Source organism: Homo sapiens, chromosome 3, assembly GCF_000001405.40.
Source record: "Homo sapiens chromosome 3, GRCh38.p14 Primary Assembly".
NCBI classification, from domain to species: Eukaryota; Metazoa; Chordata; class Mammalia; order Primates; family Hominidae; genus Homo; species Homo sapiens.
Window position 1 is genome coordinate 17,081,634 of NC_000003.12, and position 17,464 is coordinate 17,099,097.

The following is a 17,464-nucleotide window of genomic DNA, read 5'->3' on the forward strand; positions in this document are numbered from 1 at the left end:
GAAAGTATGGTGATTAGCCGAGGGTTGAGCACAGCTGGGGTGCGGTTCTGGCATTTGGAGCTGCCATCATTCTTTTCCTGGCTGCTCTGGCCTCTGATCCAATCCCAGGTAAGCCACAGGCTCAGCCAGAAAAAGCACAGTCACGCCAGACTCGCAGCAAGAGCTGCTGGGATCCAGCCACTGCCCTTAGTTACATCTTTTAAAGATTACTTTCTGGGCCTAAGTAAGAACCTTAAATATTTTGACCTAAGGTTGTTATAACTCTTTCAAGATGAAAACAAAATAGAATAAGTTAAAAAAATTCAAACCAGAATGTGCGAAATCAAATGACATTTGAGTTGTTCAACTGAAAACATTGCAAAGCCAGCTTTGTGGAAGGAGTCTTCAAAACCAGACACCCTGTGTCAGTGGGTGGCAGTGTTTTAAGTAACCTTTGCTCTTTTCAAGTCTTTTGAAGCAATGAAATATGAACACTGCTACAACAAACACCCCCACCTCTTTCAGAGTTTTTTTTTTTTTTTTTTTTTGAGACAGAGTTTTGTTCTTGTTGCCCCGGCTGGAGTGCAATGGTGTGGTCTCAGCTCACTGCAACCTTTGCCTCCTGGGTTCAAGCAATTCTTGTGCCTCAGCCTCCCAAGTAGCTGGGTTTACAGGCACCCGCCACCATGCCAGCTAATTTTTTTTTTTTGTATTTTTAGTAGAGACGAGGTTTCACCGTGTACTCCTGACCTGAGGTGATCCGCCCGCCTCGGCCTCCCAAAGTGCTGGGATTACAGGCATGAGCCACCGCGCCTGGCCAGAATTGTTCTTCACTCATGCTACATGCCTTACCTCCAAGACATCTTAAACATGTAGTCTTAGACACATAGAACAAAATGAAAGTGATGTGGACAAAGTTCAGCAGCTCCTCAAGCCCAGATTTATTGCCTTTGGGAGTCCTTTGTGTCTCGCCTTGGTAATGTCCAAAGGCCTATTCTGTTTAAGATACCATGATTACTTCTCTGAAGTTGAGAAACATAAGATTCAACCAGATGAAGAATTCTGTTATTACCACATTAATTATCATATGCCATCTGGGGATTTTTGTTTTTAAATACCCTGTCATCATGTGGTAGATCTATATATGCTGACACGGAAAGATCACTAAGACATAACTTTTCGTGAAGAAAAAAGGAAACCAAAGAACAATATAGATTGCTTGATTGTATTTACATTAAAAGTAAAATAAAATACCTATTTGTAATATATATATAATGCCAAGAAAAAGACAAAACTCATTGTTTAGGGGGCAGCTGTGAGATTAAAGGGGAGACTTTCACATTTTACTTTAATTACAATACTTTAATTGCATTCAACAGATGGTTATGGAGCCCTTACTCTGTACCTGGCACTGTTCTAGGCTCTGAGGATACAGCAGTGATCAGAAGACAAAAATTCCTGCCCTCGTGAAGTTTACATTTAGTGGAAGAGACAGACAATAAACCAAGCAGTAGAGTATGGCAATAGGTGTTATGGAAAAAGCAAGGCAGGGAAGCAGTAAGGAGAATTATGGACAGGAAGTGGGAGTTCTAATTAGACAAGATGGGGCTGTCAGGGAAGGCGCTGCTGTGAAGAGGGCATCAGAGTCAAGATGGCATCAAGGGGAGGGGAAGGAGCTAGCTACGTGCATTTCTGGGGCAAGGGCATTCCCTGCAGAGGGAACAATGAGTGCATAGACATTGAGGTTGGACTAGAGAGGACCTGATGGGTTTGAGGAACATTTAGGAGCGTAGCATATCAGAGGCTGAGTGAACAATACAGGGTGGGTAGGTGAGTGAAGGAAGTCAGATGAGGCTGTGGGCAAGGACTTTGACTCTCACTCTAAGTTATTTGGGGAGCTGCTGAAGGGTTTTGAACAGAGGGAAAGGGATGTCCTGTGTTTTAATTTGAGCTCTCTGGCTGTCACGTTGAACATGGAGAAAGAAGACCAGTCAGAATAAACTCCAAGAAAGATTATGGTGGCTTAAACCACAATGTTGGCAGTGAAGATGGTAAAAAGTGGTGAGAAACTTTATATATATGTTTTGAAGATTGTGACACTAGGACCTACTGACAGATGGGATGATAGATGGAAGAAAAAGGGAAGAATGAATAATGACACCAGGGTCCTTGGTCCAGGTCACTGCAAGAATGGAGTTGCTTTGACTGAAGAGTAGCTGGTAGTAGGAGTAGTAGCAGGATATCAGAAACTCAACTGGACATGTGATGTCCAAAAGAATGATGCCTAGATAGGCATTTTGGTAGGTACTAATTTTTATTAATAAAAATAAGAGCATACATCAATGACATTAAAAACAGAAAATACATAGAGAAAAATCAGTAAAACCAAAAGCTAGTCCTTTGAAAACCTTATTAAAATCAGTAAGTCTTTAGTCAAGCTAACTAAGAAAGAGATGATACAAATTACTAATGTCAGAAATGAAATAAAGGATATCACCACAGATTTTATGGACACTAAAAGGATAATGAAGGAATATTATGAACAATTCTATGCCCACAAACTTGAAAACCTAGATGAAATAGGCCAATTCCTTGAAAGGTACCATCTGCCAAAACTCATATGAGAAGAAATATACAATCTGAATAATTCTATATCTATTAAGGAAATCAAATCAATAATTAATAAGCCTCCAAAACAAAAAGCACCAGCACAGATAGGTTCACTGGTTTCTGCTAAACATTTAAGAAAGAAATGATACCAATTCTCTACAATATCTTCCAGAAAATAGAAGCAGAGTGAATACTTCCTAACTCATTCTACCAACCCAGTTTTACCTTAATACCAAACCAAAGACATTACAAGAAAAGAAAACAATAGACCAGTATCTCTCATCAACACAGATGCAAAAATCCTTAACAAAATATTAACAATTAAAATCCAAAAATGAATAAAAAGAATTATTCACCATGATCAAATGGGATTTATACTGGGTATACAAGGTTGATTTAACTTTTGAAAATCAACTAATGTCATTCATCATATCAACAGGCTAAAGAAGACAAAGCTCGTGGTTGTATCAGTAGATGCAAAAAAAGTTTGACAAAATTCAACTCCCATTCATGACAAAAATTCTCAGTGAACTAGGAATAGAGAGGACCTTACTCAACTTGATAAGGAACATCTACAAAAATCATACTGCTTACATCATATTTAAAGGTGAGAAACTGAAAGCATTCCCGATAAGATTAGGGACAAAGCAAAGATGTTCTCTGACACCACTGCTTTCAACATTGACCTGGAAGTCCAGTCCTAGCTAATGAAGAAAGACAAGAAAATAAAATAAAAGGTATATATCTTGAGAAGGAAGAAATAAAACTGTCTCTGTTCACAGATGATATAATCATCTATGTAGAAAATCCAAAAGAATTGACAAAAAAATCTCCTCGAACAATATAATGAGCAATTATGGCAGGGTTGCAGGAAACAAGGTTAGTATACAAAAATCAATTGATTTCTTTTTTTAAGAAAAAAAAAATTTTGAGACAGGGTCTCACTCTGTCACCCAGGCTGGAGTGTACTGGCATGATCATGGCTCACTGCAGCCTTGACTTCCCTGGGCTCAGGTGATCCTCCCACCTCAGCCTCACAAGTAGCTGGTACTTCAGGTGCACACCAACATACCCAGCTAATTTTTGTATTTTTATATAGAGATGGGGTTTCGCCAGGTTGCCCAGGCCAGTATTGAACTCCTGAGGCTCAAGCCTTAGCCTCCCAAAGTGCTGGGATTACAGGCATGAGCCACCACACCCAGCCAATTTATTTCTTTTTTTTTTTAAGGCGGAGTCTCACTTTGTGAGACAGAGTGTCGCTCTTGTTGCCCAGGCTGGAGTGCAGTGGTGTGATCTCGGCTCACTGCAAGCTCCACCTCCTGGGTTCACGCCATTCTCTGCCTCAGCCTCCCAAGTAGCTGGGACTACAGGCGCCCGCCACCACGCCCGGCTAATTTTTTGTATTTTTAGTAGAGACGGGGTTTCACCATGTTAGCCAGGATGGTCTCGATCTCCTGACCTCATGATCCGCCCGCCTCGGCCTCCCAAAGTGCTGGGATTACAGGCGTGAGCCACCATGCCCGGCCCAATTTATTTCTTATATACCAGCAAAGAACAAGTGGAATTCGAAATTAAAAACACATGACCATTTACATTAGAACCCCCAGAAATAAAATATTCAGGTATAAATCTAACAACATATATATGACTTATATGAGGAAAACTATAAAACTCTGGTGAAAGGTATCAAAGAATTAAGTAAATGGAGAGATATTCCATATTCATGGATGGGAAGACTTAATATTGTCAAGATATCAGTTCTTCCCAACTTGATATATAGATTCAACATAATCTCAAACTTCCAGCAAGCATAAAAATAGATAAATAAATAAATCCACCAAGTTATTTTGTGGAAATTGACAAACCGATTCCAAAGTTTAAAGAGAGAAACAAAAGACCCAGAATAGCCAACACAATATTAAAGGAGAAGAATAAAATCAGAGGACAGACTTTATCTGACTTTAAAACTTACTGCAAAGCTACAGGAAATAAAACAGTGTGAAAAGAATAGACAAATAGATCAGCAGAACAGGATAGAAGAGCCCAGAAATAGACCCACACAAAGCAGTTACTCAATCTTTGGCAAAGAGGCAAAGGCAATACAGTGGAATAGAGACTTCATCTTTTCAACAATTCATGCTGGAAAAACTGGACATCCACATGAAAAATTCAGTCTAGGCACAAATCTTACACCCTTCACAAGAATTAACTCAAAATAGATCATAGACCTAAAGATAAAACACAAAGCTATAGAATTCCTAGAAGATAACACAGGATAAAATCTAGGCGACCTTGGATATGGCAGTGCTTTTTCAGATACACCACCATAGACAATCCATTAAAGGAAGAATGGGTAAGTTGGACTTCCTTAAAATTTAAAACTTCTGCTCTATAAAGACAATGTCAAGAGAATGAGAAGAGAAGCCACAGTCTGGGAGAAAATACTTGCAAAGGACACACCTGATAAAGTACTGTTTTCCAAAATATGCAAAGAACTCTTAAAACTCAACAGTAAGGAAACAACCTGATTAAAAACTGGGCAAAAGTCTGAGCAGTCAAAGAGCTCTTAAAAAATGCAAAGAACCCTTAAAACTCAACAGTAAGGAAACAACCTGATTAAAAACTGGGCAAAAGTCTGAACAGTCACCTCGCCAAAGAAGATATACAAATGGAAAGTATATTAGCATCACATGTCACTAGGAAATTATATATTAAAACAACAATGAGATACCAATACACATCTATTACAGTAGCCAAAATACAAAACTAACATCACCAAATGCTGGCGAGGATGTGAAACAACAGGAACTTTCATTTATGCTGGTGGAAATGCAAAATGGTGCAGACAATTTGGAAGAAACTGTCAAACTATCTGTAGTTCTTACAGAACTAAACATACTCTTACCATATGATCCAGCGATCATACCCCTTGGAATGTACCTAAATGAATTGGAAACTTATGTCAACACAAAAATCTGCATACAGATGCTTATAGCAGAGTTATTTTTAATTGCCAAAATTTGGAAGCAACATAGATGTCCTGAAGTAAATGAATGGATAAATAAACTGCAGTGCATCCAGACAATGGAATATTATTCAGCACTAAAAAGATATGAGCTATCAAGCCATGAGACGACATGGAGGAAATTTAAATGCATATTACTAAGCGAAAGAAGCCAATCCAAAAAGGCTACACACTGTGTTTCCAACTAGACGACATTGTTGAAAAGGCAGAACTGTGGAGACAATAAAAAGATCAATGGTTGCCAGGGGTTGGGAGTGGGGAAGGATGACTAGCAAAGCACAGAGGAATTTTAGGGTGGTGGAACTATTCTGCATGATCGTGTAAGGGTAGATAGATGTTGTTATACATTTTTCAAAACCCATGGAATACACAAAACCAAGGGTGAGCCCTAATTTAGGCAATAGACTTGAGGGGATGTGGCAACATAGGTTCATTGATTGTAACAAGTATACCACTGTGGTGCGGGATGTGGCTACTAGAGAAGGTTTGCGTAGGGAGGGAGCGTAAGGGAACTCTCTGTGGTTTCTGCTCTGTTTTGCTGTGAACCTAAAACTGTCCTAAAAATTAAAGTTTATTAATTTTAAAAAATAATATTTGGAGTTTTAAAACACAAAGACTAGTTAGTCTATTAAAACTGTGAATGTGTGTAGCAATTCTGCTTGTGAAGGGAAATACACTATTTAACATGAAATTATACTCCTGACACAATATGCTATATATACAAAGACCTCATAACTAGTAAATTTTCAACATGTGAGTTCAGTGACTAGTAAGAATGAATAAAAATGAAGCTCCTTTAGTTAATCTACGCAAGGGAACATCTATTTATAGTTACTAATTAAAGGACTCTGTAAAGCAGGAAAACCATGCATGGTAAGTGGTAGGCAGCAAACTGTTCTGTGGATTTGGGCCTCATGACGGTTTAAAATTGCCTTGCAATTTGATCTCACCAGTGGCTGACATTTGACTATAGTCCATTTGCCAGCCAAGGTAAGTCCCTACCCATTGCTCTCTGCAGCTGGCCCCAAGCTCCTGCTGGACAGGAATGCCTTAAAGGGGACCCACACTGGGAGGCAGTTCAGAAAGAGGGAAAGGCGGAGGAGGTGTAAGTAGGACAAAGAAAAGTCAAACTACAGAGGAATCATAAAGAAAATAATAGAATAAATTGAGAACCCAAGGGGATGGGAAAAAATAGCAAGCAAGGAGAGTGAGAAAGAAGAAAAGGTAATAGTGTAAGTAGAAAAAACTGTTAGTGGAAGGCAGGTTAAATTTGGAAGGAAAAATAGAACAAAAAAGCAAAGTAGGAGTGTTGGAATTTACAGCAATAGAGCACCACATCATCTCTTCTGCTCGATAATTTTGGAATTGTTGGCTGATGCATTAGCCCAGTGGTTTTCAACTGGGGGTAGCTCACCCTCCCACTCAAGAGACAGTTAGCAATGTCTGCAAACATTAGGGTATGCTAGGGGTGCTGCTAAATATCTGAAAATACACAAGACAGCTCCCCACCTCCAAAGAATTCTCTGGTCCAAAATGTCAAGAGCAAAGAGGGTGACAAACTTCATTGGCCCATTGTCAGCACCGATTCCAGACTCCCAGTGACTGTGCTTCAATTCGCCCACTGTTTTCTGACCTATATCATGTTATACTGCATATAGATCAAGTTGATGGTCAGACCTCAGAAAAGAAATTAAAATTTGGCTGAGAAAGTATATCCAAAGTAGAAAATCCTTTGCTTCACTCTTTCTTTCAGCAAATGCTCAGTGAGGACCTGCTGCGTGCCCACGGCTGCCAGCACTTACCAAAGGCTGTGTGGGCTTCAGAGATGGAGAACAGATTAGTGGTTGCCAGGGTTTAGGGATGGTGGAGAGGAGGGGTGGGTGTGACTTCCTGGTGGTGCTGGTGCAGTGCTGTGCCTTGGTTGCCACGGTGGTTACGTGAACCCACACATGTGATGAAGTCACACAGAAGCATAGGCACACTTTGTACCCCCATCAGTGTCTTGGTTTTGATATTGTGCTATAGTTATGTGAGACATAACCATTGGGGGAAATTTGGGAAAGGGTATACAAGACCTCTCTGTACTATATTTGTATCCTTCTGTGAGTTTATACTTATTTCAAAATAAAAAGTTTTTTTTTTAATCAAACCTTAAAAGGGAAAAAACAAGATTGGCCAAACAACTAATGAAAGATGTAATTTTAACCAGGATAGACAGGAATAGTTCATGCACACAGAACCCCATGCAGATCTATAAATAGAAAGGGCCAGAAAGGCAGCATACTCTTGGAGTGTGGTGTTGAAACTGGGAAAACAAACTCACTTTTTATTAAAATTGACCTATTCAGATGCAGTGCCAATAAGAAATAATTATGCCTTCTTGTGGAATCAGAATACTTCTATTTCAGTGAAAGATAGATATTGTTGAAGTATAACACTAAGTTATGTCATATCTAATACTGTTTAATTGCATGTTTTGTTATAGGGACAAGCAGATCTTTTGAAATATGCTAAGAATGAGACATTGGAGAACCTGAAACAAATCCATTTTGCTGCTGTTTCATGTGGACTGAATAAACCAGGCACCGAAAATGCTGATGTCCAGAAGCCACGCCGGAGCTTGGAAGTCATACCCGAAAAAGCAAACGATGAAACTGGAGAATGAGGAAACTTACAATAAACCATTATGGAGTTTATAACTCTAGGACCAATTGTAGTCAGATGGGACATTTGCTTTGCACTCACTAATGAGAATAATATTCGGGATTTTAAAGCACAACTGGAATAGCTAATTACAGTCTATTAAAACTGTGAATGTATGTAGCAATCCTGCGTGTGAAGGCAAATAAACTCTTTAACAGGCAATTATATTGCTGGCCAAAATATGCTATATTTGTATACAAAGACATTCTAACTCAGTTCCAGTATGAAGAAAGATTATTCACTCTAGCTCCACTGAGAAACATTTTCCTAAGTGAAAACAATTTCTTAAGATGGAAATGGATTGGATTGTCAAATTATTATTTATTGGAGAAAAAAACCTGATCTACACATTTTTACTTATATGGGGTTGCCAGAGTCTCTGGGTTCTAGATGATTTTGGTGGCATGCTTGCTGAGCCATAATTACTAAAGAGAATGTAAGTGGACGGGTTCCCTGAATCCCCGGGGTCCTTGGAGAGCCATCGAGGAGAATGTGCAATTGGACTGAAGCTCCCTGGCTGAAGATACATGCCGAGTCAGCACATGGGTAGAGATGATGTAAAAGCAGCCAATCTGGAAACAATACATTGTAAATAGTTTTTCATTGTATGAAGTAGTGTTCACATTAAAAAGATGTTTTATGATATTTCTCCAATAGCAGTACATGTGTTTAATGAAGCCTTAACTTTTAAGATTTCTAGCTCAAAATATTCTACTCTTAAGTGTAGCCACTTACTTGAACAGCTTTGTCAAAAATAAGTTGCTTGTCGGGGCTGACCTTATTTTGCTTTTGGTAAGGTTTCAACAGCTTTAAGCAACAGCAGCTGACTGTAAAGTGAACCGAGATACCCACAGCTGCCCTCTTGATGCTTCTGAATTAGGTCTGTAGTAATGTGCACCTCAGAATCTGGCAAAGAGTAAGTCAAAAGTAGTTAGAGGGGCAGGAGAAGGTGTAGCTTTCCTCCAGTTCTACTGGCAACAAATTCCTTCAATTTATGTTTGTCTGAGAAAGTCTCTGTTTCTCCTTCACTTTTGAAAGATAATTTTCTGCCAGCTGAGTTTTTAATCCAAGCTTTTATTTTGCAAATCAGTGAGACTTCGTGCTTTCAAGATACTGAACACTGCAGCCTAATTACTGCTTCTCCCAAACCAAAACTGCTTTCAAATTTTGGAAGGGTAAATATTTACTCTAAATCTTCAACAATCCCTTCTTTTCTATTCATTGACTCAGGTATGTGAGCCAGATAAGTATATGTAATCTTCAGCTGAGTATCTTATTAGTGATTTCCTCACAGTTCAAGAGATGCTCAGGCGCTGTTGTTCATTTGTTTCTGTCCAGTCTCCTCAATATCCTCTTAAAAAAACAATTCTTTGCTCAGTTCTTGTCATTTGCATTCTAATAGTGTGCTTAAGTTAAGGTACGCCATCTCCACTGCCCTTCTCTGGATATAATTCGTTGGAAAATAAGCCTGTTCCTTGGATAATGTTGCTGTTCCCTGCACACCCAACTAACCACCAGCCAGTAGCTTAGGCCCTTAGCTCAGAAATGAACTCTACACGGGGTAAAAATGAATAGAAAATAGAGAACTAAAAGTAAACTTACAGAATGAGAAATGAAATAATGTATAACTTAGATTGTTAAAAATACTTAAACTTAGCTGGAAGTAAATAGCAATATTCAATTTAAAGTGAAAAATCCAGAAATCATGAAAAATTTCTATCTTTTAAAGTATAATGAAATTGAAAAAAATTCTACATTTCTAGTAATGACAGGCATTATCTAATATGTGATTTGAATAACTGATAGTAAGACACATGTAATTTATTGTAGTTTATACAGGCTTAGAGTCAACAATTTTATAATTGAAGGAGTCTGAGAGATCATTCAGTCCTACACTTTCTTTTTCAGATGCCAAAGTTGCAGATGAAAATAAAAAATGCATTGCCTGGTGTCAAAAAGTCTGTTAGAGGTAGTGTTGGTGCTGAACCCAGCCCGGGGTTTGCTCCACCTTTCCATGATAAAATGTCAACCTTCTTTTGACCCATCTCATCAGAGGAATAAGCCAAGTGATGGGAATAGCAGGCATGCCTGTCGGGAGTTGTTCCCAAAGCCTCAGCGTTTCTCCTGTTTATCTAGATCTTCCCCCAGTAAATGCACCATCCTCCCTCGAGGATGATGACTCGTATCAGCAGAGCACAAATTCACAGCCAATTGAGCTATTCTATTCTTTTTTTCCCATTCATATGGAAACAGAAAACATTCATTAAACTGGTAAGGGCCAAGGTTATGATTTATGGACCTTTATAAACAGCTTTTTCTTATAAAGGACTGACTGATCCACTCTGGATTGAATCTGTGGAGGCCTTATTATAACCCCCGCAGATCAAATAAAAGTGAGATCCCTGCTCCTGGGTTGCATAAGTTGTAGTGACAGCAGGGGTAACATGCTTGCTTCCTCCCATTATCTGCATTCCATAAATGGGTGGGGGGGCACCCATTTAAGTTACTCATTGTAAATACCAATAATTCCTTGTGAATTTGACTAATGCATACATAGGGCACACTATAGACACACACACAAACTGCATTATTCCCAATTAGGAGGAATATATACAATCAGAGGTAGCATGAAAACAACTGGTAAGTCTCTGCTGAGGACACAGGAAAATTCAGATTTGGACAAAAATGCACAGAAATCATGGAAAACACCTGGTCAATTCAGTAGGAAATGAAACGTCACACTGCAATCAAGCCCAGTGTCACATTTCCAGCAGTTATGTTGATGTCAGTCCCACAGAGTAAATCCTGAGGCCTCTAGGAACACACTAAGTACATTCTGCTTCCTCTTTCCACATACATATTCAGTGTATCCTCTCAGCTACTTAAAATCTTGCAGGCATTGGTCTATTTTCTGTCTTTAGCAGGCATGGCTTCTAAACAATGGGAAAGAAGCCATCTAAACACAAATGCTTACCATCTCCGGGCAGGTGTGACCCAGGGACCAGGGCATGGAGCAGAGTTCTTAGGGTGGTGGGCAGCCCCTAGGGAGGCTGCTCTTCCTCACCCACATGGAGTTGGGCTGTGAAGCACTGAATGGGGAAAGCCATCCAGCTTGCAAATGTTTCCACATGTGGTCTTTGCCATGCGGCCTCATTTAGTATGTTGAGGTACTTTGAATGTGTTGAATCTTCAATCAAGCGTTTTAAAAAGTTATAAATGCAAATTTAGTGCAGTTACAGCATAGTTCTGATTTACCCATCCAATGAGGAAGAATGCTGAAGCTGGATATATCTGTCTTCAGGTTCAGTGGTTGCTCATGTCTCGGCCAATATTTGCTGTGAACAGACCTAACATTTGCTGTCAGTTGTAAGAATTTTCTATTTCTAATATTTGACAGTGGGACTCTTTGTTGGGGCTGTGAGCCAAGGACTGTGTCCAAGACACTTTGCACATATCATTTCATCTTCTCAACCGGCAAAGTACTTGTCTGATGTTACAGATGAAGAAATGAAGACTTTAGACAGGTTAGTTAACGTAACTAAGGCCATGGAGTGCTCAAGTCAGGATTTAAACTCAGCTTTGCCTGCTCCAAAGCCTATATTCCCAACCATTCTTCTGAATTCCAGATATATATATATATATATATAACCTCTAAACTACAAGATGGGTACTATCTTGTAAAGTATAATGAGGCAGTTGGCATTTTCCTCTTCTTTTTTTTTTTGAAACAGAATCTCGCTCAGTTGCATAGGCTAGAGTGCAGTGGTGCAATCTCGGCTCACTGCAACTCTTGCCTCAGGTTCAAGTGATTCTCCTGCCTCAGCCTCCCGAGTAGCCAGAACTACAGGTGTGCGCCACCACTCCCTGCTGATTTTTGTATTTTTAGTAGAGACGGGGTTTCACCATGTTGGCCAGGCTGGTCTCGAACTCCTGAACTCAAGTGATCCCAATCCTTGGCCTCCCAAAGTGCTGGGATTACAGGCGTGAGCCACCGCGCCCAGCTTTATTCTTCTTAAATGCGATACATGAACTCTCTAGAAGCCACTGAGACTCTGATTTTATTTAGCACATTTGAGACACCAGGGATTCACTCTGGATGAAAACAGGCATGGTCCCAGCCCCCATGGAACTCACAGTGTAATTGGGAAGAGAGATACATTTATTCAAATAATTCCAAAGGTATAGGTGCAATTAAAACTATGGGAAGTGCTATGAAGAGGCCCCACTGAGAGGCTGCCTGGGTTCCATCCCATCACTTCCTAGCTGAGTGCTGAGGGAAGGTGTGCTTAACCTACCTTACCTCTGTAATTGTGGAAGTATTTTGTTTAGTGCTGTCTTATGAGTTGTTTGTAAAGCACTTAGACCAGCACCCAGCTCGCAGTGGACTTGTTGTAATGTTGCCATTCGTTATTGATAGGTGGGACCATGAGGGTGTTTAACGGGGCCTCACCACTCTTGAGAAGATGGAGAGAGTATTTACTGCTCTGTAACCCAACCCCTAAAACCTGAAACAGTCATTTGTTCTCATGTCTGGGGCTTTTGTGTGTTGACTGGGCTCACCTCAGTTTTCTTACTTAGGGTCTCTTGTGCAGGCGCTGGCAGATGTTAGCAGGGGCTTTAGTTATGTGACTGGGCTGAACTGCCGGCTGGCTCACTAGCTGGCACAGCCACTGCAGGGAGCTCAGCTGGGGCTGTGGACCAGAGCATCGGCATAGGTCTCTCCATGTGGCTTGGAGCCCTCACTGCAGGACACTGCATTCCGAGAGGGATTGTCCCAAGGGCAAGCATTCCAAAGACACACATGGAAGCAGCTTTTCTTCCTGAGGCTCCTGGAGGCCTATCCTCAGAAGCCTCGGCATGTCCCTGTTGCTACATCCTATTGTTTAGGCAAGTCGCTAGGTCCTGCCCAGGTCCAAGAGGGTGAACTCGACCAGAGGGTGGCAAGGTCACATTGTGGAAGATGATATGGGATAGGAGATGTTAAGACTATTTTTGGAAAATACAGTCTACTGTGGAAGCTTCCCTGAGAAAGCGGTATTTGAGTTGAGACCTGAAGGCAAAGATGCTCTCCCTACTTGCCCCACCCCAAAGAAAAGGGTCAGCAGCAGGGGATAGAGGAGTGGAAAGCAATTCAGGCAATTTAGACCAAGAGCCCAGCATTCTGCAAAGGCTGGTGGCAGGAGGGAGTGCAGCCTTGCTTGAGGACCTGAAAGGACAGTGAGACTGGGGTGCAGAGAAGGAAAAGGAGAGGGTGTCGAGGGAGTTGCAAGGGCACGGGGACCTCTCAGGGAGGGCTTGGCAGTCCTTGTTAGGGAGTTTGTTCTTGTTTTCCTAAAAGATTAGTGCCAACCATTTAGTTGTATTATATTTAACCCACTTTGCATTCGTTTTACTTAATTACAAAAGAAGTACATGCTCATTGTTACCAAAAAAAGTCAAATGCTGACAAATGTAAATTTAAAAAGTGCATGTGCCCCCTCACACTGCCCTTCTCCCACTCCCCATGGGAAACAGCATGGCCAATGCCTCCTTACATGGCAATGTTCAGATGCCACCAACAAATGCCCTCCTCCTCTCCCTGAGAAGTTCTGACTTTTACTGTCAAGGAAACGCTTAGCTCTTTTTAAGGATCAGAGAAATCAAAGCATTGAGTACATAAGTGAAGGCAATGAGCAATTCAGTTTTATCAACTAGAATATTTATGTATTTATTCAAAGCCACAGATGTTAGATGTTAGGTAGAAAGTAGGGATCAACAGTTTAACAACTTATGTTTAGATGTAACTATTCAAATGTATAAGAACAAGTGTCTCCCCTCTAAAAATATTTTTAAAATCTCACACAAGACTCTAAACCAAAAACCATTGTAAAAAATCCTTTGGAAATGGATCATTGTAGCCATTGAGATGACAGGTCAAGGTGAGCATTCTGAACATATAACAAAATATAAGATAGGTGATAAATATTCAAAGCATGAAGGAGGTATAATATGAAGAGTAAAGTCCTCCCCTCATCTCCCCAAGCCTCAGTGCTAAGAACTTATCATGTGTAATTTCTGGTTTTGATTCTTCTGACAATTATCTCACAAACTCTGGACCAGTGCTGTAAAATAGAACTTTCTATGATGATAGAAACATCTAAATCTGTGCTGTCTAATATGATAGGCATGAGCTACATGTTGCTATAAATTTAAATTTTAATTAATAAAAATGTAATACAATAAAATATGTAGTTTCACAGCTGCACTTGCCGTATTTCAGTAAGTCAGTAGCCCCATGTGGCTAGTGGCTACCATAATGGACAGTGCAGTGATTGACAATATGTTTATACCTCTGCTTTCTGCTTTATCAACTTTAAAAAGACATGCTGACATCACACGAAGGGAGATGAAAAATGTGGCTCATTTCACTACCTCTTCTCTTTGCTCTCCTTCCATTCCCAATCCCTATTAAGAACATTTTCATTTTAGTTCTACTGGATTACCTTAATAACTTTTAATAATATAATTAAAATTGCTTATTGATGCATCAATTGTTGACTTTCATACTTTGATCCACCACATGTTAAATCAGAAAATTCATGTTCTCTATTGTTTCCCTCCAAAACTTCTGCACTTTTATTTTTTTATTTTTATTTTTTAATTATACTTTAAGTTTTAGGGTACATGTGCACATTGTGCAGGTTAGTTACATATGTATACATGTGCCATGCTGGTGCACTGCACCCACTAACTCGTCATCTAGCATTAGGTATATCTCCCAATGCTATCCCTCCCCCCTCCCCCCACCCCACAACAGTCCCCAGCGTGATATTCCCCTTCCTGTGTCCATGTGTTCTCATTGTTCAATTCCCACCTATGAGTGAGAATATGTGGTGTTTGGTTTTTTGTTCTTGTGATAGTTTACTGAGAATGATGTTTTCCAATTTCATCCATGTCCCTACAACGGACATGAACTCATCATTTTTTATGGCTGCATCGTATTCCATGGTGTATATGTGCCACATTTTCTTAATCCAGTCTATCATTGTTGGACGTTTGGGTTGGTTCCAAGTCTTTGCTATTGTGAATAGTGCCGCAATAAACATACGTGTGCATGTGTCTTTATAGCAGCATGATTTATAGTCCTTTGGGTATATACCCAGTAATGGGATGGCTGGGTCAAATGGTATTTCCAGTTCTAGATCCCTGAGGAATCGCCACACTGACTTCCACAATGGTTGAACTAGTTTACAGTCCCACCAACAGTGTAAAAGTGTTCCTATTTCTCCACATCCTCTCCAGCACCTGTTGTTTCCTGACTTTTTAATGATTGCCATTCTAACTGGTGTGAGATGGTATCTCATTGTGGTTTTGATTTGCATTTCTCTGATGGCCAGTGATGATGAGCATTTTTTCATGTGTTTTTTGGCTGCATAAATGTCTTCTTTTGAGAAGTGTCTGTTCATGTCCTTTGCCCACTTTTTGATGGGGTTCTTTGTTTTTTTCTTGTAAATTTATTTGAGTTCATTGTAGATTCTGGATATTAGCCCTTTGTCAGATGAGTAGGTTGCAAAAATTTTCTCCCATTTTGTAGGTTGCCTGTTCACTCTGATGGTAGTTTCTTTTGCTGTGCAGAAGCTCTTTATTTTATTTAGATCTCATTTGTCAATTTTGGCTTTTGTTGCCATTGCTTTTGGTGTTTTAGACATGAAGTCCTTGCCCATGCCTATGTCCTGAATGGTAATGCCTAGGTTTCCTTCTAGGGTTTTTATGGTTTTAGGTCTAACGTTTAAGTCTTTAATCCATCTTGAATTGATTTTTGTATAAGGTGTAAGGAAGGGATCCAGTTTCAGCTTTCTACATATGGCTAGCCAGTTTTCCCAGCACCATTTATTAAATAGGGAATCCTTTCCCCATTGCTTGTTTTTGTCAGGTTTGTCAAAGATCAGATAGTTGTAGATATGCGGCGTTATTTCTGAGGGCTCCGTTCTGTTCCATTGATCTATATCTCTGTTTTGGTACCAGTACCATGCTGTTTTGGTTACTGTAGCCTTGTGGTATAGTTTGAAGTCAGGTAGTGTAATGCCTCCAGCTTTGTTCTTTTGGCTTAGGATTGACTTGGCGATGCGGGCTCTTTTTTGGTTCCATATGAACTTTAAAGTAGTTTTTTCCAATTCTGTGAAGAAAGTCATTGGTAGCTTGATGGGGATGGCATTGAATCTGTAAATTACCTTGGGCAGTATGGCCATTTTCACGATATTGATTCTTCCTACCCATGAGCATGGAATGTTCTTCCGTTTGTTTGTATCCTCTTTTATTTCCTTGAGCAGTGGTTTGTAGTTCTCCTTGAAGAGGTCCTTCACATCCCTTGTAAGTTAGATTCCTAGGTATTTTATTCTCTTTGAAGCAATTGTGAATGGGAGTTCACTCATGATTTGGCTCTCTGTTTGTCTGTTGTTGGTGTATAAGAATGCTTGTGATTTTTGTACATTGATTTTGTATCCTGAGACTTTGCTGAAGTTGCTTATCAGCTTAAGGAGATTTTGGGCTGAGACAATGGGGTTTTCTAGATATACAATCATGTCATCTGCAAACAGGGACAATTTGACTTCCTCTTTTCCTAATTGAATACACTTTATTTCCTTCTCCTGCCTAATTGCCCTGGCCAGAACTTCCAACACTATGTTGAATAAGAGTGGTGAGAGAGGGCATCCCTGTCTTGTGCCAGTTTTCAAAGGGAATGCTTCCAGTTTTTGCCCATTCAGTATGATATTGGCTGTGGGTTTGTCCTAGATAGCTCTTATAATTTTGAAATACGTCCCATCAATACCTAATTTATTGAGAGCTTTTAGCATGAAGAGTTGTTGAATTTTGTCAAAGGCTTTTTCTGCATCTATTGAGATAATCATGTGGTTTTTGTCTTTGGCTCTGTTTATATGCTGGATTACATTTATTGATTTGCGTATATTGAACCAGCCTTGCATCCCAGGGATGAAGCCCACTTGATCATGGTGGATAAGCTTTTTGATGTGCTGCTGGATTCGGTTTGCCAGTATTTTATTGAGGATTTTTGCATCAATGTTCATCGAGGATATTGGTCTAAAATTCTCTTTTTTTGTTGTGTCTCTGCCTGGCTTTGGTATCAGAATGATGCTGGCCTCATAAAAT

At 39.9% G+C, this 17,464-nt stretch overlaps 1 protein-coding gene across 5 annotated transcripts in view; it reads left to right on the top strand.

Moving 5' to 3' along the window:
- PLCL2 (phospholipase C like 2) overlaps nt 1-8,973 on the top strand; it is a 205,652-nt gene extending 196,679 nt beyond the window's left edge. For 4 of the 5 annotated variants that reach the window (XM_047447799.1, XM_017006025.2, XM_006713073.4 and 1 more), the window contains one exon: nt 8,100-8,973. In XM_047447799.1, coding sequence (XP_047303755.1) covers nt 8,100-8,279 — 180 coding nt within the window. In that variant the 3' untranslated portion in view covers nt 8,280-8,973. The remainder of the gene's footprint in view (nt 1-8,099) is intronic. The other variant, NM_001144382.2, reaches the window with a different exon arrangement.
- Nucleotides 8,974-17,464: the final 8,491 nt, after the last annotated feature.